The sequence below is a fragment of the Homo sapiens genome, chromosome 9, assembly GCF_000001405.40.
Source record: "Homo sapiens chromosome 9, GRCh38.p14 Primary Assembly".
Taxonomy (NCBI): domain Eukaryota; kingdom Metazoa; phylum Chordata; class Mammalia; order Primates; family Hominidae; genus Homo; species Homo sapiens.
Window position 1 is genome coordinate 1317055 of NC_000009.12, and position 27575 is coordinate 1344629.

The following is a 27575-nucleotide window of genomic DNA, read 5'->3' on the forward strand; positions in this document are numbered from 1 at the left end:
CTCAGCTGTCAGTCTTGCTATTGCTCCTATGAAGGTACTACATTTTTTTCCCTCTGACTTGCCCTACCCAGTAGGTATATTGGCATACGGGTAGGAAATAGACCACATGAATAGAATAGAGAGATCATAAATGGACCCATGAATACATGGAATTTATTATGATTATTTGGCAAAGTGAAAGCAAAAGTATATGTTTTTAATAAATCATGTGGAGACAATTGGTTACCCATTTAGAAAATAAATGAAATTTGACTCCTACTTCACATAATATTTAACAATTAATTTCAGGTACATCAAAGACCCTAATGTGAAAAAGGCAAGACTATAAAATTAATATGAGAGAATTATTGTGATATTATGCTAGAGAAGGACACAAGACACAAATAATAACCCATGAAGGGACATATTGATGAAATTAGTTTACAATTTCAATTTCTATTCCTTAAATTACATCAAATTAAGAATTTACTTTCATTAAAAGACACCATACATTGAGTGAATATATTATCCAGAAGATACAAATTCCTACTAATCAATAAGAAAAAAAGCAACATTATAGAAAAATGGGCAAATGAATTAAAGAGAAATTTGAAAGGATCAATTTCACATGAAGAATGAGTCAATGGTCAATTTCATTACTAGTCAGGGAAATGCAAATTGAAACCTACTATTTTATACTCAACTCTTTGACAATACCAAGTCGTAACTAGGACCTGCAGATACAGAAATTCTCGTCCACTGCTCTTGGGTGTAGAAACTGGTATACCATTTTGGAAATGACTTTGGCAGCACTGAATTATGAGCATACCCTGTGACCTACCAATTCCATGACAGGATATCTACTATAGAGGGAATCTTGCATGTGAGACACAGATATTCATAATGACACTTTAAAATTATGAACAAAATATGTAACATATATATTTATATAGTTGTTCATCAATAGAAAGATGTATACTCATATGCTGGAATACTATACAGCCATAAATATGAAACATTCTTTATGTGCATCAACAGGGACCAATTTCACAAACATAATATTGAATACAAAAAGCAAGTCACTAAAAAGAACATATTGCTATAATTCCATAATTTTAAAGTTCTAATATAGACAGTTAAATTACATGTTGTTTAGGGATACGTGCACAGATGGTAAACACTATGAATTATCAGAATTCAATATAGTGGTTACCTGTAAAGAAGAGGAATGGGTTGCAGTCAGTGAGGTATAAGTGGCTTCTGGGGTATGGTAATATGTGATTTCTTGGAATGGATGATGGGTGTCCATTTTAAGAAATATTGCAGCAACTTTTCTCCTTTGTGTGGGGCTGGATGGTATTGCTCAGTGAACCTGTAATCACCGACATCCTAGCAAAGGGTGTGCATCTGAGCAAGCTAACTTAGTTGAGCCAAATTTAGCTAAGTCTCCAATTGTGATTTTCCTTTGGTTGCACTTCTCTTAAAATGATCAACTCACATTCATTTGAAAACACACCTAACTCGTGACATTCAAGTTATTTGTGACCAAATTGCTGAAATATGACTTGGGTATTGCTACTTGTTTCATGAAATCTTTGGAGACTATTTGGAACACTCTTTAAAGTTGTTCTTCTTTTGCCACGCCCAATAAATTCTGACAGATTTGGGATGATTCAGTTTTTCTAAGCTGAAGGCCCCCATCCAAGGTCAAATTATGGTTTTTGCTCCATTTGGATTCCATGAATGTCATGGTTTCACCCTTCTGCACTGCATATTGTTTTATATCAGTTCTCCTGAGCTCAAGGGAACACCCTTCAGTTCAGCTGCAGGAGCCCAGGGAAGCTCCTATCCAGAGGTTTGGAAAGCTCTCTCTGAAAGACGAGCTTGGTGTCACACAGTGTCTGTGAAAGCACAGTGGCTTTCAGTTCAAAGGTGACCTTTCCCTCTCCTCCTAAGATCATCTGCTGTTTGTACAGGCTACCGGTTCTTCCTCTAATCGTTTGGCGTAAATTAGGGTGAAGACCTGGAGGGTGTGTGTGTTTGTGATGGGGTGTGGGAGACTTGAGTTTTCATGAAGACTGTTTTATTTATTGTTTGTTTACCCCTGCTTAATCCCCTGTGATTTGTAATCCTCCCAATGAACCTTTCCCCAGTTTCCTAAAATATAGTGGATTTTAGCATTTCTCTCCTTCCTAGTGTTTTGGTGCTAGTATATACTTTGAACAAATTATATCCACCTAAAAAATCAGGGGAGGAGAGGAGGCTGCAGGCAGATCCCTTGGGTGAGGGCAGGAGTGAGTAGTGGGAGGAGAGAAGGATTGTTTGTGTTTTCTAAAGAGAGGTGCAAATGCTGCTTCTGAAATCTTTGGTGGATAACCCTTGCTTATTTCCTTCTGAAAATTTTGTGAATTACTGTGTTGTCCTTTATTATGCTAGCAGCAGTAGTGGCCGCTCAGGTTTCTAATAAGGAGGAGACATTGCCTCGTGGCCTTATGAATTTCTGGAGGTGAAAGAATGTAAACTTATGGCCCCATGTCCCCACCTCAGACCTTATTATGGCCCGACAGCTGGGAAAAGCATAGGAAGCAATTAAAACACCCTGTATTAGTCACAAAGGAGATCCCAGCCCCAGCCAACAGTGAAAGGAGCTGATCTGCAAAAGAGTGCGAGAGAGAGAGAGAGAGAGAGAGAGAGAGAGAGACAGAGACAGAGACAGAGACAGAGGAGAGTGAGCCAGAACAGTTAAAAATGGAGAGATCCTACCCAAGTACTTTCCCAATTAACTTCAGCACCTGTCTGGTTGGAAATTGTTTGTAAACGCATTAATTGAAAGGGGCATGTGTGTGTTTGGTTGGGGTGGGGGAGCAGTAATTCAACAATCCAGAAACCCAGAGAAGAAGAGGGAGGAGGAGTGGAGCTGAGCAGGGACCACTGGAAAACCATCATCCCAGAGGGGGCCCTGGTGCCTCCTCTCTCTCCTGCTGAAGGGGCTTCTTTGCTGGGACCTCTGGAGGGCAGAGAGCCTGTGATAGCTAAATCACTGGATGCCCAGGGAAGAGGCTTGTTTTTGCTTGGCCTGCTTCTGTTTTATAGCCTGATGGATTTTGGCTCTCTCTTTTCCTCTTCAGAGGCCTACAATCCGCACCAAATGTTTCACATTACTCAGTGTGAAAAACCTCCTATTCTTTCAGATTTTTTACAAGTTCATACATCCTTGGAAACCCGATATTCCATATTTCATTCTGCTTTGTGGATGTCATTGTGAAGGATGCGGGTTCACATGCAACAGGCCTCTTCTGTCTTTGATCAGTTTGACCGCAACTAATTGTAAATGGAGAACAAATGAAAGAAATATTTACAAATTTCATGGGAATTCAGGCGGGGTCTAAGCCTTTCCTAATGCCTCAATTCACTGTAAATGTTTATTGAATACTTTGACTCTACTGTGCACCTCAATATTTATATAGTATTAGTTTCTAGCTTGTTCCAAGGGGATCCAAAGAATTAGTAAAGTGACCTTCCCCTTCTCTGCTTTACCCCCTTCCCCTCCTGCAAACTTCCTTTGTTTCGCATCTCAAAATCTGTTGCTGCCTAAAGAAAACCAACTCAAATTCCAAAGCTACAGCTCTAAGAAGGAGAAGGAGAAAACGGGGTGGGGAGGAGGTGTTAACAAAGAGACCGGAAAATTTAAAACAAATTTTGAGTTGCATAGTCAAGTCGGGAAAAATCAAATGAAAATGTTAAAGATTTGTTCAAAATAAAGTCATAAATGCCTGGAGCCAAGTTAAACAGCTGTTGGGTCAGGCAGGCTAAAGCCTGAGAGGCAGCACCAACTAAGAGCTGAATATTATGCAATTAATCAGCACTTGCCTGGTTATAAACAAACATGTGTAACCCTGTCGGAAGATTTTAAATGGAGGCCTTGCCTTTCCTAAGCACACTTTTCCAGAAGAATTTCTGTTTACTCAGGAAGCAAGCTACCTTCATGGCTTCTCCCTGGAGGTTTTGGAGAGGAGATGCTCTAAGGCTGGGAAAGGGTCAACTGCCTCCCTCCAGCTCCCATGCCTCGTGGCATATGCTGGAAGCCCCGTCAGACATTACCTTCTTCCCACTGCTGTCATGAGCTGCCTGCACTTCCAGGGCAGCTTGGACAGATGACGGGCCAGATGCTGAAGGGAGGAAAGGAGGTGACCTCTGTCCAGAGAGTCCTTTTGCTATCACCTTCTTGGATGCCCAGTGTGTCTGGGGTCTGCCAACGTCGTCATAATAAATGCTCTAACAACTGCTCTTTTAATGAGGAACATTTCACATCTGTGTCTGCTGTACCCTGGGCCTGTTCCACCCCAGGAGTCGTAAAAGTTGGGCTAGATTCTGTCATCTGTGGAGGCTGGCTTAACCTGCCATTCTTCATCTTTCCACTCAGATATGAAAGGCAAGATTCAAGGATCACACCAACTAGAGGGTGAGTGACCCCAAACAACCCCGAATGTTTGATGATACAGGGGCATGTGGCAGAGGGCAGTTGGAAGTGGCTTAGGATAGATGGCTGGAAACAGAGTGGCAAGCAGCTGAACAGAGGAATGGGACTTTGGAGAAGGAAGTCAATGCCAAAGCTGATACAAAACGAGCATGACATCCTAAAGGAGGGTTTGGAGTATTTTACTGGTACAAATTTCTTTATAAAATCCAATTTTAACTTTTACTCTTTGAGGAGACATTGATTTCACTGACATCAAGAAAGCCTTTTTTTCTGAGCACAAAAATTTGAAATCAAAGTTATTGGCTTTTAAAATCAAGGCTTTCTGTGTGTTTTGGTTTCATGGCATTGAGAACATTCTTATTCATAAACATCAGTAGCTTCAAAAACGAAAGGTTTCAACATTTCACTTTGCGGTGTTGATTCTTTTTAAACTGATCTAGAACCTTGAAGGAGGATTATGCAATATTTTTGTTTCAGAATTCAACTGTTGACATTTCCTAACATAATTATAAAAGTCAGAGAAGCATCCCAAAATTATAAATGGCAAAACTATCTATATAAATACAACATCATAATAAAACATGTAAAATGTTTATATGTATAACTAAGATGCATTGAAAATATGGCTGACATTTAATTAAGCACAACATATGCATTCTATGTTAAGAATGTCCTTATTTGCCTAGTTTTATATGAATGGACTTTCACAGTTCTGATTTTTTTTTTTTTTTTGGGAAGGAGTCTCGCTCTGTCGCCCAGGCTGGAGTGCACTGGCCCGATCTCGGCTCACTGCAAGCTCCGCCTCCCGGGTTCACGCCATTCTCCTGCCTCAGCCTCTGGAGTAGCTGGGACTACAGGCGCCCGCCACCGCGCCCGGCTAATTTTTGTATTTTTAGTAGAGACGGGGTTTCTCCGTGTTAGCCAGGATGGTCTCGATCTCCTGCCCTCGTGATCCACCCACCTCGGCCTCCCAAAGTGCTGGGATTACAGGCGTGAGCCACCGCGTCAGGCCGTTCTGATTTTTTTTTAAAGGAGATGTCTGGTCATACACAGTCTACTCAAAGGCCTGTTTACAAAAATTCCTGTATTATTTCATAAGCTATAATGTGTGATATATGTGGACATTCAGATACTTTTGTCAGCGTATCAAACCGTTGGGGATGACTTTTTTTCCAGTGATGGGTGTCAGGATAAAATGACAAATTCAAGATTTTATGTATTTATTCCTGTGGTCTTTTCTGCCACAGACCCAGACTTCCAAATCCAGGGAAGGGAAGGAAAAAGATCTGGCACAGAAAGAAATTATCCCAACACTTCTAGATCTCTTCTGTGGGGAGAATCTCTCTCTCTCTCTGACACTGTCAGAGAACAGCACCCCATGTAGACAACCTTGATCTTTCACTTCCCAGCCAATACCGTCTTCTGGGAGCATTCTTCTCCTCATCCTAGGCTCTCAGTGGTGGAAATTTTAGGCTGCCCTCTTGAAGACCTTGCTTTCTCTCTCAAGATTTTAGGAGGACATGGCATCATGTTAAGCTTCTTCCAGGCTGAATGAAGGAGTGCCATGCACCACTCTGCCCCTGGTTTCACTATGGTCCTTGATAGATTAGTATTGAACAAGACTGAATGGCATCAATAGATCAGTAACTGTAGTTGTGTTAAACATCTAGAAATCAGTCCCTGAAAATCCCACATCCGGCTAGACTGGTCCTGAGTGATGTCCGTTTCACGCTCCTTCCAATTCTCTTCTTTTACCACTGGGGCTGCCACTTCTCGTCCCCAGGAGTCCTGTTTTTTCTTAGATGCCCTCTTCCCATCAAAACATCCTCTTACAGCCCTGTTTACCAGTAAATGTAACTGGATACGAATAACAAACTTTTCATTTTGAAAGAAAACTTGCAGTAGGGAAAATGGACCGACCCGGAGTGGTGGGATAGTGCCACAGATCAGGGCAGCTTGGAAGAGACCTGACTGACCATGTGCAAGCAGTGTGTCCCACAGGTGGTCATTTAGTGGGGGACGCGGGTCTTGTGAGTAAGGAAGTGCTCTGTAGATTCAAGGAGCAGGAGGGCATGGTGCTTAACAACTTCAATTTTGGAATCAGACAGCCAGGTCAAATCCTGTCTTTGTTACTTATTACCTGTGTGATGGGTGAGTTTCCCCAACTGCTGTCTGCTTTGGATTTCTTATCTATGAAACTGGGCTAAGGATAGCGCCTACCGCATAGCTTTGATTTGAGAAGTGAATGAGTTAATACACAAAGAATATTTTGAATGGCACCTAGCACATAATAAATGGTACATCATTTTTAGCTGTTTTTATTGTTTCAGGAGGCAGGAGGCATTTTCTTTATCAAAGCATTCATTAAATTCCTACTGCCATTTTAGCAAAAGGAATGTTTATTGAAGTTAGATTTCTTTACTTTGTTAAAGAGATCCCCTACTTTAGGACCTTTCCTGGATTAACAATCCTATTAATTTACATTTAGCACTCAGGGATTATTGGTATATAAATGTTTTAGTTATTTCTTTTGAATTTTAATCCAATGCTATATTTATTTTTAATCATACATGTATTTTAAGTATGAATTTTCCTCCTTAAGAACTGAGGGGCAGGGGGCGGAAATCCACCTGCAATGCATTTGCAGAAGAATGCTCAATTAGAAAGATCTTCAAACTTGCCCTAGCAGCACAAGTATCCTTAGATCAGTTTTCTTCAATGTGCCTCAACCAAGAAAATGACCTTTTCCTTAATTACCTATTCTAAAGGTGGTGATCAAAATTTTTAAGTGGTCAGATATCAAATGTATTGTTCCGAAACAAAATGAGAGGCTTTGTTAGTCAGTGTTAATTAATGGAAGCAGAAAGAGGAGAATGTGGAGCAGTGTTATTTATCTTTCCTATTAAGAACTTGTCTGGAATTTCATAAATGAGGTACAGAAGACACTTATTCTACTTGTAATTTGAGCTATGAAATTTGTCCTATGTCTAATGCAACCAGCATTTAAAAAAAACACAATTAAAAGAAAGAAAAAGAAAGCTAGCAGCTTGCAAACGGTGCCTCTTTGCACGAAAGGACCACATTTCAGAATGTGGTTTATGGGACTCCGCCTGTATTAAGCTGACCAAAATGGGGGTGACCCATAGACAATAGATTTCTTTATTGTATTGTTTTGACACAGAACAAGTGACATTCCTCAGGCCCCTTTTCATGTTACAGTCTGCCACAAAATACGTCTGTACTCCTTTTACCTGCAGAACTGGGTTATATCAACCCCATCACTTTTAGGCTTATCTGATGACAAATGAAAATTGATACTGGTGGGGAGGCTAATGACAACTTGGTTACCAGACAACCATTCACCTCTGTTTCAAAGTTCTTTGAGCTGTTTCAGTGTAAAACTGGAAAAATGTTTATGAGCAACAATAAACTCACATTTCCATAAATATATTTATACAAGAAAAATGGGAAACCATGGACAAATGTGTTCTTTATATAATATATAATATGTATTAATGCAAAGATTAGACATTATATTATGATTATGTGTACATACAGATTTCTTGTGTACCCCTGTTTATATGTTCTAATATGACTTTATCTGTGTATGTTGATGTGGATATAGTTATGTGTGTAGTCAAAGCATTTTTTGAAACACTCTGGAAATAATGCATATGTTGCTATAGAATGAACAAAGTGCCTAAACCATTGATTGTGTGAATGCTGCTCATATAATATGTAGGTTCTATGTGCTTCTATGTATCAGAATGGCTGGAAAAGGGAGGAGTTCTTAGAATATCTTCTATAATACTCCTAGTGACATCATGATTTCATTGTTTTGGAATATAGCATGAAATAGATTTGTACCTTTTTCCCCCCTTGAGCACTGAGAAAATTATATGTTCTACCAAATAGTAAGGAAATAAGGATCTGTTGAAAACAATCTATTTTAAATATTTTATGAATGATTACACAAGCATTATATAAATATGCAGTAATTACATATGCTAATACATACATTTGATATATCTAAGTTTTCAACTGCAAATATTTTCTAGCATGCTTTTCTATAGTTACATTTACTCTGTATGGAAATTGTATCTTAGCTTTAGCCTTGGATAAATTTCAAAGAATCACAGATCACTGCAAATGGCTCCAGATGCCACTGAATACAGAGATGGAAACCTGGCAGCCAGCATGCCAGAATTTGCCTGCAATGTATATATTTTTGGGCATTCAGTGTGTGTGTGTGTGTGTGCGTGTGTGTGTGTGTGTGTGCGCGTGTGTGTGTGTGTGCTGAACAGCTTTATTGAGGGGTAACTGACACAATAAACTGCACATACACCATACAGTTTGATATGTTTCAATAAAGGTAAACACCTGTGACATCCATTATTTGGATAAAGGTATACACAATGTTAAATTGTTTATCCTAAAGCTGCTTCCTTACGTATTTTAAGTTTGGCCTAAAGGTTTCTGTGTACATAGTGAACTGTAACCTACCTAGATACGGAAATAGACTATAACCTACTCCTGTACCAATCACGGAGTTTTGGCCAAAGGTGGCCAACTATTCAAACCATGTTCAAATAAGGCAAATGCTGAGCTGTAACCAATCGGGCTGTTAACATGCCTCCCTTTTAGTTTCTGTCCATAAATCCTCTCTGTCCACACTGACAGTGCCAGAGTTATTCTGAACCTATTCTGGTTATGGGGGCTACTCAATTCTTTGCTCAGTTAAACTCTGTTAAATTAAATTGTCTGAAGCTTTTCTTTTAACAGTGGGTAAAAACATCATCACAATCAAGATAATTAACATATTCAGCACCATCAAAGTTTCCTTATGCCCCTTTGCAATCTCCTTTCCTGTTCCAGCCCCTCCAGGCAACTGCTCATCTAATTTCTGTCATTATAGATTTGTTTGCATTTTCTAGACTTTTCTGTGAATGGAATCATAAAATACGTGTTTTTTTCTCTCTGCCTTCTTTCATTCAGCATAATTATTTTGAGAGTCCCTCCACAGTCATAGTAATTAAAAAGGTTTCTTCCTATGTTTACTTCCAGAAGTTGTATTATTTAGGTTTTATAATACATTAAAGTCTCTATCTATTTTAAGTTAATTTTTGAACAGTTGTCTGAGGTATTGACAGAAGTTCATTTTTTTCATGTGAATAACAATTTTTTTATTTTTTTGAGACAGTCTCACTCTGTCGCCCAGGCTGGAGTGCAGTGGTGCGATCATGGCTCACTCTAACCTCCGCCTCCTGGGTTCAAGCAATTCTCCTGCCTCGGCCTTCTGAGTAGCTGGGATTACAGGTGTCTGCCACCATACCTGGCTAATTTTTGTATTTTTACTAGAGACAGGGTTTTGCCATGTTGGCCGGGCTGCTCTCAAACTTCTGACTTCTGGTAGTCTGCCCACCTCGGCCTCCCAAAGTGCTGCAATTACAGGTGTGGACCACCACACCCTGCCAGAAAGACTATCCTTTCACCATTGACTTGCTCAGCATTCTTTCAAGCTGGGGCAATTGTAAGGCTCACCTCATTTTCCATTTTTCAGAGACTACTGCCCTTCATTGATTGATGTCCGGTGCCTGGAAAGCCATGGTTTTATGCAGTTTGTGGATTTTTTATTTTTTTTCTTTATTTGAAATGGGAAGGTAAGTCTGATCCTTGTTACTTCATTTTGGTCAGAAATGGAGGTCCCCTACTCAGTGTTTTTTTTCCTGTTTTTGAAACAGTTTAATTTGTTGCCAATGGATAAAAATGAGGAGATATCATATTAAAATCTAGATTTCCGGCTTCTCTTGAAAAATCTGCAGACCTGGATTTACACTCCACCCAGCAACAACAGATTTCAGAGAAGCAGTGGTTTCCCATGGTCCTCTCCTTCCTTCATCCCCCTGGGCCTGATTAGTCCAAACCTCTCATTTTATTCAGGAGGAAACAGCAGCAGACAGGCAAAGTGGGTTGGAATTCGAATCTGAGACTTCTGACTTCAAATCCAATAGTGTTTCCACAGAGATTGAGCAAGTACACTGTATTATTAGTACGAAGCTGAGCAAACTGAAGGTCTGAATATTTGCTGACAGATTTAGATGCTCAGTGCCTCTAATGCACACTCTTTTTTCACTTTCTAATAATGACCTGTGAAGTTTATTATAATTTATCTGTTGTCATATTTGGAAAGCAAACCATGTGGCAGGATTTAACTGTTACTTAATTCTCTTAAAGGAATTGTTCATCCAGCAAAATTACCATTTGAGAATTATGTTTATTTTTTCTCATAAAAAAAGTGCCTGCAGCATTTATATTGAGTGTTTCGATCTTTAATGAGTTCCCACCATAAAAGAATACTGACATGACTACAATGTAGAGAATATGTTTGCAGTATTCCTCATCCATGCATAACTTTCTGACTTACATTGTTGAAAATGTTCATGTCAGAATAAACTGAGAAATTCAATTTGTTAGCCTGGGAAATTGTGTGATAAAAAGCTGTATCTACCATTTTCCTTTCCTGTCTGATTAGCCAAAATGTTACCAAACTCTTGTGCAGTATATAGAAATACAAGTCAAAAAATAAACCGAAAAACCAGTAAGAATTATGTGAAGTAATACTTTGTAGATTTGGTAGACAGATGCATTTTTGGAAATAAACCCAATATTTAACAAAAATTGATATATTTACTCTCAATAGTTACACATGATGAAAATATAGACAATGAAGAATGATCTATAACTTTTGTTTTCATATTCTGACTTTTTCTTTAACCTAGATCCTATACGAGAAGAACTGAAAATAAAATATGAAATGACTTTGATATTATTTTACTGCATTACCACAGATGACTATTACTAATTTAAAAGTGAAAAGGAATGTTGAACTATCTTATGATTTTCTTGTTTAGGATCACATTACATCGAACAGAAACTGTTTTACCTTGCTTGCAAGGAGGTGGAGGCCTCCTTGCCCCCAAGTGTGGTGCCACTTCCGGGTTCCTTGAGCACTTCCAGGTTATCAGCCCAGCTCTCCTCCAGTTTCTGGGGCTGCTGAAGAAGCTGTTGGGGAAAGTAGGTACCCCTCTTGAGTCCTTGCTGTTGCACCGGCCTTCTCCACAGGACATCAGTAACTTCTTCCTCTTAAGCCATAGCATTATCAGTTATACAGAAATACACGTTAGGAAACTATCTTCAGGAGGACCTGGATGAGTTCATTTATACAGTCATCACAGATCACCCCTAAGCTCTACTTCAGTTAGAGAAGGCTGTAAATTCAGCATCTGCACTGATATGAACAGGAACAGGATCAGTTTCAGAGGATTTCTAAATACATACAGATTCTGTGATCATGTCTGGACTTTTGTATTGAATGATGTTAAACTCAGAGAGATGGCAGAGGTTATCAAAGTGAATAAAGTGAAAATTGTAGCCTGTGATGGTAAAAATATAGGCTCCAAATATTACAGAATGAATAGGAGAAAAAGGCTTTTTAAAATGCTATCATCTGTCATTCGGTATCACTTTTTGAAGAGCAGTACTGACAAGATTTAAAAAAAATTTTATTCTAGCAATGCAGAAATGGCTACACTGTGCTACACTAATCAGAGAATGTCAGATGAGAAATGCTTACAACTGTGGCCTTTTATATTACCTTTATTATGCAACATGAAGAAACATAACTTTTTAAATTGACAAAGTAAAAGTTGTCACCTTTCTAGAAACGTTAATAAACCCATGTTTAACTCAATGTGAATAATAATTGGTGGAGCTACGAAACTAGCGATGGGAAGATAGTAGATAAACATTTTGAAAAAGTACCATGTTCTTTGCAAGGGAAGTCAGAAAAATGTGTCATTTCAGTAAAGTCAAGTTAGTTTTATCAATTGTATTTTTTGCCATTGATAAAAAGCATTAGCAGGGACAATAGCAAATCCCAGATAGACTTTACTTAGAAATCAATTTTTTAGAAGTATAAAAGCAGGGGTAACACTGGTATGACAAATCTCCTAAGAAATACAATTCTGTTAGGAAAGTGGATAATCTTTTGTGAGCTTCCCTAGCCAAAACAAAACAACCAAACCAAACCAAAACACCTGTTCCCAACAATGTAAAATAGTCCCTATGTGAAATGTAAATTATTTCCTGAACTGGCCATATTTGCTGAGCCTTATACATTTTAAAATTATCTTAAATTCTGCCAGTTATTAGACTTTCAATTAACACATTTTACTAAGTGTAAAAAATATGCACCTAGTAGATGTGGAGACTCTTGAAGTCTTTAAGTTGAAACTTTTAATGCTTAGATTCATCTTGGTAAACAGGAACACAGTGAGTTGGAGTAGAACTCTGTGTTTTCTGGATTCTTCTTGGGGTTTCAGTAGCTGCCTTTTCTGTGATTCTCTTCAGCTGCCTTCCCTTTTGAAATAAAGGGGAAAATGCTACTATTGTATGGTGCAACCCCAAGCAGAAACAAGTAACAAGCAAAGAAAATTCTCCTAGAAGTAGCAGTTGCTGACCTGCTCATTCTGGCTTCTGGACCTTCACTATAATAGGTTGAGTCCATTGCTCCAGGGGTTCATACACAGCACTTGGAATGATATATTTAACATGGGTCTCTGAAAATTATGAAAGAAGGCATCATGACATGAAGCATCCAGCAAAGTGTGCTTCCAGACCATGGGCATTAGGAAGATCATGCAAGGCTGGGAGAGGTGGCTCATGCCTGTAATCCCAGCACTTTGGGAGGCTGAGGCCGGCCAATCCTTTGAGCCCAGGAGTTCAAGACCAGCCTGAGCAACAGGGTGAAACCCTGTCTCTGCAGAAAATACAAAAAGTAGCCCAGCATGGTTGTGCCTGCCTGTAGTCCCAGCTACTTGAGAGGCTGAAATGGGAGGGTCACTTGAGCTCAGGAGGTCAAAGCCTGCAGTGAGCTGAGCATGCCATTGCACACCAGCCAGGGTGACAGAGTGAGACCCTCCCTCAAAAAAAAAAAAAAAAAGAAAAAGGAAAAAAAAAGATCACACATCTCAGAGTCATCCTGAGGTCCAGGACTCTACCACAGTTCCATTCAAACTGTAACTCTTTGTGTGTGGTCTGAGAGCCCACAATTTGAACAAGATCCTCAGATAACCCTCACTGAAGTTCCGAAGCCTCTGCTCTTGTAGTCAGTTTCACTGTCTCTAGATTGAGTACATCTGAGTTCAAATCCTCATTCTGCACCCTTTTAACTGGGAGAGCTAGAAAAGCTCTTTAAGCTCCCTGAGTTCCACTTTCTCCATCTGTAAAAATAGGAATCATGATAGTGCCTACCTCCTAGGGTCGTGCTGAGAATTAAATGAGATAATGCAATGCACTTACCACTGTAGCTGGTTCATATGAAACACTTATAAATTAGAGAGGCTACTGTTATTACCATTATTATAAAAAGTTTTATGAAGGATATCCAAACCTCCACTCTGGTTTGAGAGCAATAAATAATGTATGGCTAAAGGAATGAGTACAAACTATACACTTCTTCACTAAGGGGAGCCAGTAACATGCTTAAAGCCATGGTTACCTCCCTAGTGCTATGGCTTGAATGTGTCCCCTCCCAAATTCAGGTGTTGTCAATGTGATAATATTAAGAGGTGAGGTTTTAAGAGGTGATTAGCCCATGAGGGCTCCTCCCTCATGAATGGGATTAGGTGCCCTATTAAAAAGGGGAAGTTTGGCTAGCTTGCCTTTCCATCATCTGCCCTGTGGGGATATAGCATTTCTCCCCTCTATAGGATTCATCAATGAGGCACCATTATGAAAGCAGAGAGCAGCCCTCAGCAGACACCAAACCTCTTGGCACCTTAATCTTGGACTTCCCAGCCTCCAGAACTGTGAGAAAATAAGCTTCTGTTCTTTATAAATTACCCAGTCTCAGGTATTTGGTTATAGCAGCACAAAATGGATGAAGACACCTAGGCTTGTGGCATTTTTCTTGTCCCAGATTCTGCTGATGCTCTTTTAGATGCTCTGTGTAGTTCTTGTCCCAAAGAGTAAAAGATACAGCCCTCTGTTATTGGTTTTAAGACCATTATTCCTGAGTTTCTGCTTTTGAAGCAGCTCCAAGGGGAGTCTTTAGCAGATGATTTACAAAGAAGTCTTTGATGTTCTCCAGTGTGTCCTGCAAAATGCTGTCAGTTTGCCTTACTTGTTAACCTTGGTGGCCTTTGAGAACAAGGGCCTGCAGCTGTCTCCCTCCAACCACTTTCTGGTCCCAGGCTGCATCCTTTTTCTGCTGGGTTGTCTTTTCTTTTGACCACAGCCTGTCCTCTATAATTGTAGAATCCCATTTTCTGAGACTTGGCAGGACAAATCACTTCCTTGTGGCCATCTGAGCAGCAGAGGGATCCCTCATGCAAATAGGATAACATTTCCTGGATAACACTACTAAATATTAAATATACTTAATTATTTTTGCAAATTATTTTTGTAATTTTAATCAATTTAAATTTGTTGGAGCTTAGGGGGCATATTAATGACAAAGAATCATTAATTATCATTAATTCTGAGGGTGGAAAAGCTCTTGAGCTATAATTTATTTGACTCTTCTAGAAAATATCCTAGGACAAATCCAACTCTTCTAAGTACAAGAAGCATAATAAATAATAATTCTTTTTCTTTTAAGTAACATTGGCCAACACTACATGTGATGTAAACTTGAAACTGTCAAGGTTAGTTGGAATGTCCTACATTCAACATTCCTTTTTCGTGACCACAGCACTAAGCCAAGGCATTAAGAAAGACAGCCTGCCTTCTACAAGAGTGCATCCTAGTTGGGGAGATAATACTCGTGACCGGAAATAGCTTTACATAAAGGCTGCATAAGGATGTGAATAAGTGCTGAAGAATAGAGGACTTGGGGAAGAAAGAGGCATGTGTGGGACAAAATGATTTCTTGGTCATTTCCTACTTGCATTTCTTGCTCTTACTTCCAGGTGATTCACCACTGACATTGCATTGACTTTGTTAAGGTTATCTGTGGGTAACATACCCACAGTAGGAGCCTGGCAGTCTCAGAAAGTTGGCTCTCATTGGCTGCTGCATCTTGTTGGCAGAGGAAAGGGGAAAGGGGTGGGGACAGAGTGACCATGCAACTGCCTCTGTGTGCAGGTGCTTTGCCTGCAATACCTTATCCAAACTTTCAGCAACCTTGGAGGAAAAGAGGTACCATTTCTGTTTAACATGCAAAAGAATGAAGGCTGGGGGTGTTAGTAACTTCCCCAAGTTATCATGCAATTAGTAAGTGGGTTAAAATTCATGTCTTTTTGATGCTATGACAAACCATCTCATGGTCTACTAATATTGAAAGCCCAGAATTTTAATGGTCATGAATTACTCTCTAGGAAAATTGGCTCAAGTTTAGCAGTAGCCTTATATGCCAGGAAGCTACCTAGGGGGTGAGCTGTGAGAAGACCCAGAAAAATCAGCTATAGACTAAACCATTCATTATGGATCCCTTAGGGCTAATGCTTTATCTCTTTCCACCTTCTCCCTTTCCTTTTTTCTGAAATTGAATGCTCTTTTAATCAGTTCTAGCTGTTATAACAGAATACCATGGGTGGCTTAAACGATACAATTTTTTTTTTTTTTTATCACAGTTCTGGAGGCTGGGAAGTCCAAGATCAAAGTGCCAGCAGATCAGTAACTGGTGAGTGCTCTCTTCCTGGTTTTCAGACCACTGTTTTCTTGTTGTATCCTTATGTGGTCGACAGAGAAATAGATCAACTCTTTTTTTGTCTCTTTTTATAAAAGGGCACTAGTTCCATTCGTGAGGCCTCCAACCTCATAACCTAATTACCTCCCAAAAGCTCTACCTCCAAATACTATCACGCTGGAGATTTAGGCTTCAACACATGAGTTTTGGGGAGATACAGATATTCAGTCCAGAGGCCATGCTATAGCTACAATGAGAGTTTATCAGAGACTCTCATTGTACAACTTGCAAATCCAGGGCACTTCAAGTCTTGTAGTTTGGTTTATGATAAAAAGGCAGACTTGAGATTTCTGGTCCCGAATGGAGTAAAAGATAGAGTCCTCCTGGAGCCTGGGACTCACTGGGCTGAAGAGTCCAGGTTCTTATGATGCCACAGAGGGCAGCATGAAGACCACACATGTCCTTGGTCAGAGAAGCCAGGAGACGGAACAGGCTCTGAAAGGGCAGGGGATAATGCCTGGATTTTATCATTTTTGCTGCAACTCCATCTCACATCGGCAGCTATGTGCAGAGGGTGAGAGTGTGTACATAGGCAGACTGGGCAGATTCTGACCCATTGGAAATTGATTAAGTCTATGGCCTTACCACCCTGAACATGCCCAATCTTATCTGATCTCAGAAGCTAAGCAGGGTTGGGCCTGGTTAGTACTTAGATGAGAGAAACTGGGTGAGCACCAGCTCCAAGCCAGGTACTAAACTTGCCACTTTTTTTTTTTCTATGACTTTAAGCTTTCCTGGGTGGTACCAGACAATCAACTCCCTCTTATTCATAAATGAGGGTCCTAGGAACCAGGATAAAAAATCTACAAGTTCCTTTGGGGAATATGAAATTGGAGCTGGGAGAGCTGGAAGATCTGAGGCAGATTCCATGAGGTGTAGTTCCTAGAGTCCCCTCTTTCTTGGGACGTCTGTGCCACTTGGAACAGGGTGCCAGCATGGTAGAGTGGTAAGAACGCATGTGAGTTTTGGCATTAGAACAATCCTGAATCAAATCCCAGCTCATCCATTTATTAGCATCATACATTTAGGCAGCAGATAACACCCACAACTAGCATTATTGAATTTCTACCATATATATCAGACACTGATCAGGTTTAGACACCTTGCAAAGTATTAACTTACACGTATTTTTCAGTATGCACAAGTAGGCTGTGGGGTACATGCTGTTATTAATGTCATTTCACAGTTGAGGAAACTTAGGCATAGAGGGTTAAATAACTTGCCTGAGGTCAGACAGCCAAGATTGGAACCCAGTAAATGTGCCTTCAGTGCCCATGCGCTTGACCACTATCTCCCATTTCTGTGTCTTTATCTGCAAAACAAGGACAAAAGTAGCTACCTCAATATTGTGAAGATGAAACTACATTGGATATCAATATATGAAGTTGGGACACACTGGGTACCCAACTGCTAGCAGCTGCATTCCTGCCTTCCTTCCTCATAATATACAGGAACACCTTTTTGGAATGAAGCTGGAATACCTCTTGTATGTCCAGCTCTCCTTTCCTTTGTCTCTGGTGCCAGCCACCCTTTTTTTTTATACTCATACCTGCAGCTCCACCTTCCTCATTTCTGCCCTTGTTCATCATAACTCATTATGATTTCTGAGGGTGGGCTTATTTTACGTGAAATCATTTCTAGCAAGCTGCTTCCTGGCCATGTCTATAAGGCACCTTAATCTCTTCAGTTATTCCCTACATCACACTGGGGGGTAGATTACTTCTGGGAAGGGCCATCTCTCTGTGCGTGGCTTTCTGCTAATTTCTCTTTCAGTGAAAATGTCTTTCCTGACCTTCTCTGTTGACTCTTTTTCACTTCCAGTATTCAATCTGAGGTCTGCCTAAGTAGACCAAAAACACTGCTCTAGCTCTGCACCCAGCAGCCCCTGCAGAATCTGAGAATCCACTAGGGAAGAGTCCTTCCCAAGTCCCATGCCTGGGATCTCTCTGGGTTTGACTACCTTGGGGAGGGTCCGTCCTGGTTAATTTTCACTGACAGCTGAGCCTGCACCCTCCACGATCCTCTCTCCTCTGTTCTTTGCCAGGCTGTGTGTTTTCGGAGGCTGACCCCCTGTGGACTGCATTACCTGGGATCTTGTGCCTTCTGGCTTCCGAGTGGGTTTGGCCAATGGGAGGCACCAGCTGCAGATAGAGAGGAAGCAGTAGCTATGGCTGTCCATGACAGGGCCCACCTCTCAAGGGGCTCCAGTCATTCTGCCTCCTCCCCTGGCCCCTGTAGTCCCTGGGGATGCACATGGCTGCTAGGCTCTAGGTATTTTCCCATCTGTTACATATTCCCATAACCCTGCCCACACCTTTATGTGTGGGCTCTTCATTAACGCGTCTTCAATTGAATAACATGGGATGAATTCTGTGTTATTTGGGTCCCTACAGATTTGACATAGGATGAATTCTGTGCCTTTTTAGGTCCTTACAGATTTGGGGTTCTTTGCTAGAACCAAAAGGTAACTGGGGATATCTTTTGTAATTCTCACTTTTGTAAGTATAATTCTTACTCTAACGAGTGAAATCACGAAATTCAAAATAAAAACACAGTGTCTCCAAGTACTTGGCTATCTCTTTACTCTTCAATGCAGGGGGGACGATTGCTATTTTATCAGGACCCTGTGAAGAGCACGGCTTAGTAGAGAAAGTTGTGTTTTAGTAAAAGCTCTGTTTTGGAATCTAAGTTTTTAAGATAGATTTCTAATTGTGTGACTTTGGGCAAATCATAAATTTCTGGATATCAATTTTCTTATTGAAAATGATGAAGCCACTGAGGTTATGAAGTCTAACCTTGTTCTAAAAAGGTAAATATCAGCAAAGGTGCCACTACCTGGAACATTTAGAGCTGGCCAAGGATCTTGCTTTGGGCCAAAGGTTAAGGCTGCCCCAAGCTTTTCCCACTTGCCCCCTGATTTGGACCTCTGAGGTTTCTGGTACACCCTTGACCACCCCTCAGCCTGAATGATTTCATTGCTGCACTTGTTTCTCCCAAGGTGATGTGCTCCATTTTGACACCTTCCCAGGCTTTACATGCAAATTTGTCTTTACTTTCCTACGAAGCTTGAGAGGTGAGATATTTCATTTGCCCTTCTCTTTGGGCCTGCTTATGTCAAAGGTTGGTTACTCTTTTCTATTTTAAATTTTATTTTTTTTTTTTGTCTTTTGCCTGCTGGAAGAACACTCGGAAGCCTGCAGAGTCGCTGCCTTGCTTATCGGGCGTCTTTTTTGCTTTTTCAGAAATTGCTATAATAAGGCATAGATGAGAAATGTGAGAAACAAGATAGGAAAAGTTTCTTAACAGTACAAGGCTGTGACCCGTATGGAAATGTCTCCTTCTGGAGGGAACCCAGAGGAAAAATATCTCCCTATTCCAAGGGTCACATCCAAAGCCACTCTGCAAGTGACCCGAACCCTCTTCCATCTCCAGTGGGCAGACTGTATTAGCTTTTACTTAAGATAACATCATTCACCTTGACAAAGTCAGGTCTCTGATTTCTGCTTTCCCTCAGCCTGAACATTCTTATCCACATTACTACTAGTTCCTTAATCTACTGGATGTTAGTTTCCGACTACTTTAATTTGAATAGTTGAGCTAAATATTTGTAATCACTTCTCAGGGAAATTATGGGCCATTTATATTAGAAAGAACTTTTGTAACTCCAGTGCTAAAATTGAATTATTTCTCGCTGACATTGTGGCAAAAATAACTCAAGGATGTGTACAAAATATCTTGTGGGTTATTTACCTTCAAATAGCCTCATCTGAAAATAATTACAGTAAACTCACACTTTCTGTATCTTGTGATGAAAAATATTGATATTTCACATACAGCATGTTTGAAACAGTTGGCCTCAACAGGCTTTTCAAGTTATTGTTTACATTTATTTTTTTCTTCCAAGTGAGGGATAAGAATGACAGGAGACAACTTCACTCAGCAGATGGGAATGTGGAAGAATCATGACTAATGGTTAGGCCGTGTATATGTTTGGGGTTGCTTGTTTGTTTTTGTCCTACCTATCCCCTCCCCAATCCTGCCAATTACTAGCTTGTGTGTCCTTGGGCAAGTTCACCTCTCTGAACTTGGTTTTGTGCCAGTTGTGCTAACACTGAGAGCAGTGGCTCTTAAGTAGGAATCAGTTTTGCCCCTCAGGGGATGTTTGACCGTGTCTGGAGATATTTTTGGCTATCACAACTGTGTAGAGGTGTGCTACTGGCATCTAGTGGGTAAAGGTCCCAGATGCTGCTAAACATCCTACAAATGGACAAAGACTCTCCCACAACCAAGGAATATCTAGCACTGCATGTCAATAGTGCCAAGGTTGACAAATCCTGCTTTACAGGTCATGGTTATGGAGAAATGTTAGCATCAGGTGCTTTGTGAATTGTTCAGAGATGTATAAATATCAAGTGTTACTATATTATCTCTCAGGCATGAGTGCTAATTATGACTGTAACTATTTAGTACCCAACTGCCCAAAGCACTGTTTAAACTCTGGGACTCCATTTCTTTATTGTGAAAACTTATTAGGCTTCAACGATCTCCAAGAACATTTCTGGCTCTGATAATGTATGTGGGAAAAGCATTATATGGTACTTTGGCCCAAAGTTGACAAAACCAATAGTTGCTAATTTCAGTATTTTTTTTTTTTTTTTGGCTCTCATGTAGATCACTGATCTGAATCTTTGCTCTCCAGATAATCTGAGATTTCCTAAAGCGGAGGAGGCAAAGAATTTTTTATTTATTTATTTATTTATTTATTTATTTATTTATTTATTTATTATACTCTAAGTTTTAGGGTACATGTGCACATTGTGCAGGTTAGTTACATATGTATACATGTGCCATGCTGGTGCGCTGCACCCACTAATGTGTCATCTAGCATTAGGTATATCTCCCAATGCTATCCCTCCCCCCTCCCCCGACCCCACCACAGTCCCCAGAGTGTGATATTCCCCTTCCTGTGTCCATGTGATCTCATTGTTCAATTCCCACCTATGAGTGAGAATATGCGGTGTTTGGTTTTTTGTTCTTGCGATAGTTTACTGAGAATGATGGTTTCCAATTTCATCCATGTCCCTACAAAGGATATGAACTCATCATTTTTTATGGCTGCATAGTATTCCATGGTGTATATGTGCCACATTTTCTTAATCCAGTCTATCATTGTTGGACATTTGGGTTGGTTCCAAGTCTTTGCTATTGTGAATAGTGCCACAATAAACATACGTGTGCATGTGTCTTTATAGCAGCATGATTTATACTCATTTGGGTATATACCCAGTAATGGGATGGCTGGGTCAAATGGTATTTCTAGTTCTAGATCCCTGAGGAATCGCCACACTGACTTCCACAATGGTTGAACTAGTTTACAGTCCCACCAACAGTGTAAAAGTGTTCCTATTTCTCCGCATCCTCTCCAGCACCTGTTGTTTCCTGACTTTTTAATGATTGCCATTCTAACTGGTGTGAGATGATGTCTCATAGTGGTTTTGATTTGCATTTCTCTGATGGCCAGTGATGATGAGCATTTCTTCATGTGTTTTTTGGCTGCATAAATGTCTTCTTTTGAGAAGTGTCTGTTCATGTCCTTCGCCCACTTTTTGATGGGGTTGTTTGTTTTTTTCTTGTAAATTTGTTTGAGTTCATTGTAGATTCTGGATATTAGCCCTTTGTCAGATGAGTAGGTTGCGAAAATTTTCTCCCATGTTGTAGGTGAGGCAAAGAATTTTTAACCTTGTTCCTTAATGAGTAGATAAGATTTATCTGTGACAGTGTTTTCTTTTGTACCACGTAGAATAATAGCAATGTTAACAGCAATAAGTAAACAATGGACAGTGCCTACTGGGTGACAGACATTTGAACACCTACTGTGTGCCAACCCCTGCCATAGCACTGTAACTGCAAGATCTCATTTTATCATTATAGCATGGCTGGTTAGTATAATTGCTTCAATTTTACAAAAATGAGGAAAATGAAATTCAGAGAGGTTGGGGACCTTGCCTGAAGTTGCACAGTTGTTGAGGCATCCACTTGCTTTAAAAGACAAACCAGGAGCACTTTCTGCTTCTCTAGATTCTTACTCAATATGGTCATTATTAGAAATTTGCAGTGGAGAGTTAAGCAAGAGTAAAATGAATGCCAAGAAGGCAGGAGACAGCCTTGCTATTTTGTAAAAAGCTTTGTGCTCTGTGGGTAAATGTTTGGTATCTGGTAAATTGGAGAAAAGACTGGGGGTAAATCTTGCCATCAGCCTGAGTTGTCAGAGGGCAGTAAAGGACAGTTCAAACAAGTGGTCTTTTTCTATCCTTTTCAAGTAATTCATAAAATAGCTCCTATGGATAGGGTCAGGGCAGAGCTCCAGGTACTACTGGAAACATTATTGATGATAATCAAAAAACCTATGGTAATATCAAGTGCCAATAGAGAATAACATATAATCTGAATAAGGATTTCAGATTATATTTGAATGGAGTTTTGAATATATAGGAATCAGTTATTCTCCTTTGATGAGGGCGACCATTCTTCTCAATCTGCGGTTTCAGTGTTGGCTTCCTTTGGGATCTTTAACAAATCCTAATGCCCGAGCTACATCTAGGCCAATTAAATCAGAAGCCCTGGGTGGGATCCTGGCATCAGTAATTCTCAAAGCTCCCCAGATGATTTCAATGGGCAGGCAAATTTGAGAACCAGAGTGCTATATCAGCGGTCCTTAGACATCTGCGTATATCAAAATCACCTGGAGAACTTGGTAAAGCTGGGGCTTCTAGGAGCTTTATTAACTCTCCAGGTGATTCTCGTAAACATCATAGTTGAGAACTGCTTCTCTATTTCACTCTTTAGGGTCTATTCTATTTTAAAATAGAAAAAAAATAACACTCTTCCTAGTTGAGGAATTGCCTAGAGTAAACACTACATGCAGGTGGGCACATTTGGGTCCTCACAACTCATTACTGGGTCTTGTGCCAGGCACTGGCAAGCTCCCATGTCCTGTAGATGCCAACCTTGCCCTCTGCAGCCCTTCTAACTCCTTTCTGGCAATGGCCCCTAGTCCAGTTTTGAAGTATCTCTCAGTCCTAATTTGAAAGTATGGCGAATCTGTTGTTCATATGACACATTTTGAGACTTGGTCCATAAGAGACATGGTGGTTGCTCAGTCAGGAACTCAAGGTAAGGCCACTTCCTGTAGACATCTTGTGTCTTATTTTACCTCTGGTTGCTTTTCACAGATTTTCATGCTTTCTGAATTGCTGATTTTTTTGAAACAGTTTTCTTGGTTGTTGTTTCATGGAACAATTCCCATGTTCCAGAAATGCAGTCCCAAGCCTGCCAGGACTTGTATTGTCAGGCACTTCAGTAAGTACTCTGAGTTTAAACATCTGAATCTTTGAAGCTCAAATTATTTACATTATTCTGTAGTTTGCTTTATGTTCCTCTTGTTACATTCAGTTTTAGGGAGTTGGGGGAGGCAGAAACTGTGGAATGAGGTAGTTCAAATTTATGTGTACTTTTAATTTAATTTAATTCTTTAGAGAAAAGAGGTCTTTGTTACCTGTGATGAGAAGTTGAGCAATTAGAAATTCATGAGGGAGATATAGGATTTGGAGAACACAGCAATTCATACTACTGCTTGTCTTTGGATGTAGCCAAGAGTCCATAGGAGTCCTGAGTGTGCATTTCCAGCCAGTCTTTCTCATTGGGCAGGGCTAAAAGCTTCCAGGAAAGCAATTTAATTGGCCTAATTGTATCAGAAAACAATATTCATGTTATAGCAATTGGTGGGTGCAATATTTAGGGCTATGTTTCTTGCTAGAAGAGCCACATCTTAGGCCACTATATAGGATGATGTGAATTGAAGGATTGACAATAGCCTCTCCAACCAAAAATAACTCTTTGGTCGTAGATGCTACAGTGTTTCAATGGACACAATTAGAGAGCTTTCCTTTGAGTTCATTTATCCAACAAACTTTTACCAAATACCCCTACTATGTACCAGATTTTGTGCCAGGCACCTGGGACATAAAGATGAATAAGACCTGATCTCTCCTGCTGGGAGATTCACAGTATAGTGATGGAGAGAGACAAACAAGTACATTTTGGAGCAAAATGGGGCAAGCACTTTCAAGTATGCATGTATGGAGTGCTGTAAGAGTCAGGTTAGAAAGGGCTTTTTTGTGGGAAAGGGCATTTTGAATTGGGGTTTAAGAGATGAAAAATTATTTTGTAAGTGAAGAAGGACTAGGATGTTTATTCTTTGAATGAAACGTCACTGAGCGAAGGATGTGCATGAAAGCCTAGGGTCCCCAAATGTTGATCAGAGAAAGTAAAAGTATGTGTGTGCCTGGACCATATATGGATGGAAATGGGTGTGGATAATGAGGCTGGATCACATTCAGGAGCATCTTGTACACTACATAGGGAGGGTGGGCCTCTATCCTGAAGGTATTAGAAAACAAATTGAGATGTCTAAGCTGGGGATGGAGCTACGTGTTTATGAATTTTGTGAAAGAATATAACTCTTACAGTATGAGAGATAGTTTAAACTAGAAAGAGGCTGGTTATGAGAAGTGAAGCTTTTTACAATATTTCAGGCAAGAGATGATGAGGCCATAGGCTAAGGATTTCATATATCTGCCATGTGTCCTACTACTCCTTTCTGCACCATAACAGACATTACTAGTCAATCTGTTCTGTTCCCTGGTTATCCTAGAATTTTTCTCCATACAGCACATCAGGAAGCCACTGTTTATTAACATACAACATATAAACATATAACATATAAACATAATAATAATGTTTATAATGATGAAACTTGTTTATCATCTTTGTCAGAGAAGAGGGAAAGAAACAGAATAAACATGATAACTGACAGCTTAAACGTTGAGGCTTAAAGAGAAAGTCAGGAATAACTAACTCTTTCTCTATTGGAAGGCTTAGAGGCATGGTGATACAACTAAATAAAACTGACCTCAAAGGACACAGAACATCCTTGGGGTGGAAGATGATAATTTCAGTTTGGGTTGTGTTTTGAGATGCAAGCACAACATTCAAGTGGAAGTACACGCAAGTTAATAACTACGAGGTGCATATAAGACTTTAAACCAGTGTTATTCACCACATTACCCCACACTGGCTATGGTTCTTAGCCAGGAATGTATGTCTGGAGCTTGCAAGATATTTTAGAGCTGGAAATATAGGTTTGGCATATTTTACTCTAGAATATAGATTTTGCCATTTAAGCCATGGACATCATTCAAGGAGAGGGCTATTAACTCAGAAGTCTTTTTTAAAAGTGTCAATACACATGAGAATAATATTAAATTAATTTACAAAAAAGTATTAGCATGATTTCAGATATCTTTCTCAAGGATTATGGCCTCAGGCAGTATCCTAAAATCAATGGGATATGGAAAGTGAAAAGTGATAGAGGGTTAAAAAGGGACATAGAATGTAGATGAGTAAGTGAAAGACAGATTTCGCTCACTTGGCAATTTTATTTGGGGTCGAGTCAATTCTTAAGGGAGGCAAGACTTAAGAATAGTTTTGATCTGTGGCACTGTTGAATGAAGTACTTTTACTTGGTTTTAGCCATGGAGTTATGTGCTTCCTAGCCTTATCTTAATATTTTCTTCCTCAATGAATAATTATATTGAAGCAACTTGGAGAGAAGACCACATAATAATATGTTAAACTGATTTGTTTTCCTCCTGATTAATGTACACCAGAAGATTTTCCTCTTTGTTCTTGTTAAATCAATTAACTTGGTATCTGAAATACACCAACGGGTTATGTTGCCCAGAGGAGAAATAGAAATGTCTAATATTCTATCATTTCATATGAAAACTATAGTACTGCTTGGTAGTTGTTCGTTTACTTAGGGTTGACTATAGGAAAACAAACCATCAGCCTTCAAAACTGAGATTTACCTTCTCCCTGACCATGACTGGTAGTGAAGTCTTGAGAACTGTGAGGAAATGTTTTGGCTACTTGTTCCCCTCTCGGTGGCCTATAGTGTCTTGGAAGCATGTGGCAGGCATTCAAGGGATGTTTCAGCTTATTTTAAATCCCTGGTTGAAAGGAGTTGAGATACAGACATGGCAAGGTGAGCCACTTGCTCTGGCAGCACAGGCCAAGCTCATTCTTTCCGTCTGTGCTCAGAAAAGCTGCAGCTCCGGGCTTTCCTGGGCTTGGAGTATTCTGTCTCTGTCCACTGGTCTTTTCACTCTTGGGCCGGGGAGGGCATGCAAAAGGAAAGGTTGTGTCTTAGTCATCTTTGGCTGCTATAACAAATTATAATAGACTGGGCAGGTTAAACGCAGGTATTTTTTTCTCACTGTTCTGGAGGATGGAAATCTGAGATAAGGGTGCTACCATGTCTGAGTTTTGGTAAGGTTCCTCTTTCTGATTTGCAGACAGTCATCTTCTAGCTGTGTCCTTACATAATGAAGAGAGAACTGTCTCTCTTCCTGTTCTTCTAAGGGCCCTAATCCTATTATGAGTGCTCCACCCTCATGGCCTCATGTCTCCCTAATCACCTTCCAAAAGCCCCATCTGCAAACACCTTCACTTTCGGGTTAGGGCTTCAACATATGAACTTGGGGGGACACGATTCAGTCCATAGCAGGTTGGCTGCACATTCATAAATTTCTGGGTTTCCTGGATAGCTGGATTTACTAGGCTCATTTCATACCACGCTCTTTCCAATGTATTTACTTTTTTTATTTTTTTAATTGGCAAAAATTGTTTATATTTATCTTGTATAACATGTTTTGAAGTATGTGTACACTGTGGAATGGCTAAATCAGCTAATTAACATACGTATTACCTCACATACTTATCTTTTGTGATGAGAGCACTTAAAATCTACTTTCTTAGCAATTTTCCATAATATAATACAGTGTTATTAACTATAGTCACCACATTGTACAATAGGTCTCTTGGACTTATTCCTCCTGTCTACCTGAAATTTTGTACCCTTTGACCAACATCTTTTCCCCTTTCCTACCCCAGCCTCTGGTGCCCACCAGTCTACTCTCTGCATCGATGAGTTCAGTTTTCAGATTCCACACGTGAGATCATGCAATATTCATCTTTTTGTGCCTTGCTTATTTTAATTAACATAATGTCCTCCAGGTTCATCCATGTTTTTGCAAATGATAGTATTTCCTTCTTTCTTATGGCTGAATAGTACTCCATTGTGTATATATGCCACATTTTCTTTATTCATCCTTTAATGGACACTTAAGTTAATTCCATGTCTTGGCTATTGTGAATAGTGCTGAAATAAACATGGGAGTCCAGATAGCTCTTTGACATACTGATTTATTTCCTTTGGGTTTATACTCAGCAGTGGGATTGCCGGAT

At 39.9% G+C, this 27575-nt stretch overlaps 1 long non-coding RNA gene and 1 pseudogene across 3 annotated transcripts in view; both read left to right on the plus strand.

The window, feature by feature from the left end:
• LOC102723803 (uncharacterized) overlaps positions 1-27575 on the plus strand; it is a 182624-nt gene that overhangs the window by 18787 nt on the left and 136262 nt on the right. Inside the window, exons 4-6 of one of the 3 annotated variants that reach the window (XR_428436.4) lie at positions 10020-10119; positions 11371-11533; positions 16093-16129. The exons of the other annotated variants lie outside the window; for them this stretch is intronic. This is a non-coding gene — a long non-coding RNA (uncharacterized LOC102723803). Of the gene's footprint in view, positions 1-10019; positions 10120-11370; positions 11534-16092; positions 16130-27575 lie in introns of those variants that run through there. 3 annotated transcript variants of the gene reach the window in all.
• On the plus strand, positions 16783-16899 carry RNA5SP279 (RNA, 5S ribosomal pseudogene 279; annotated as a pseudogene).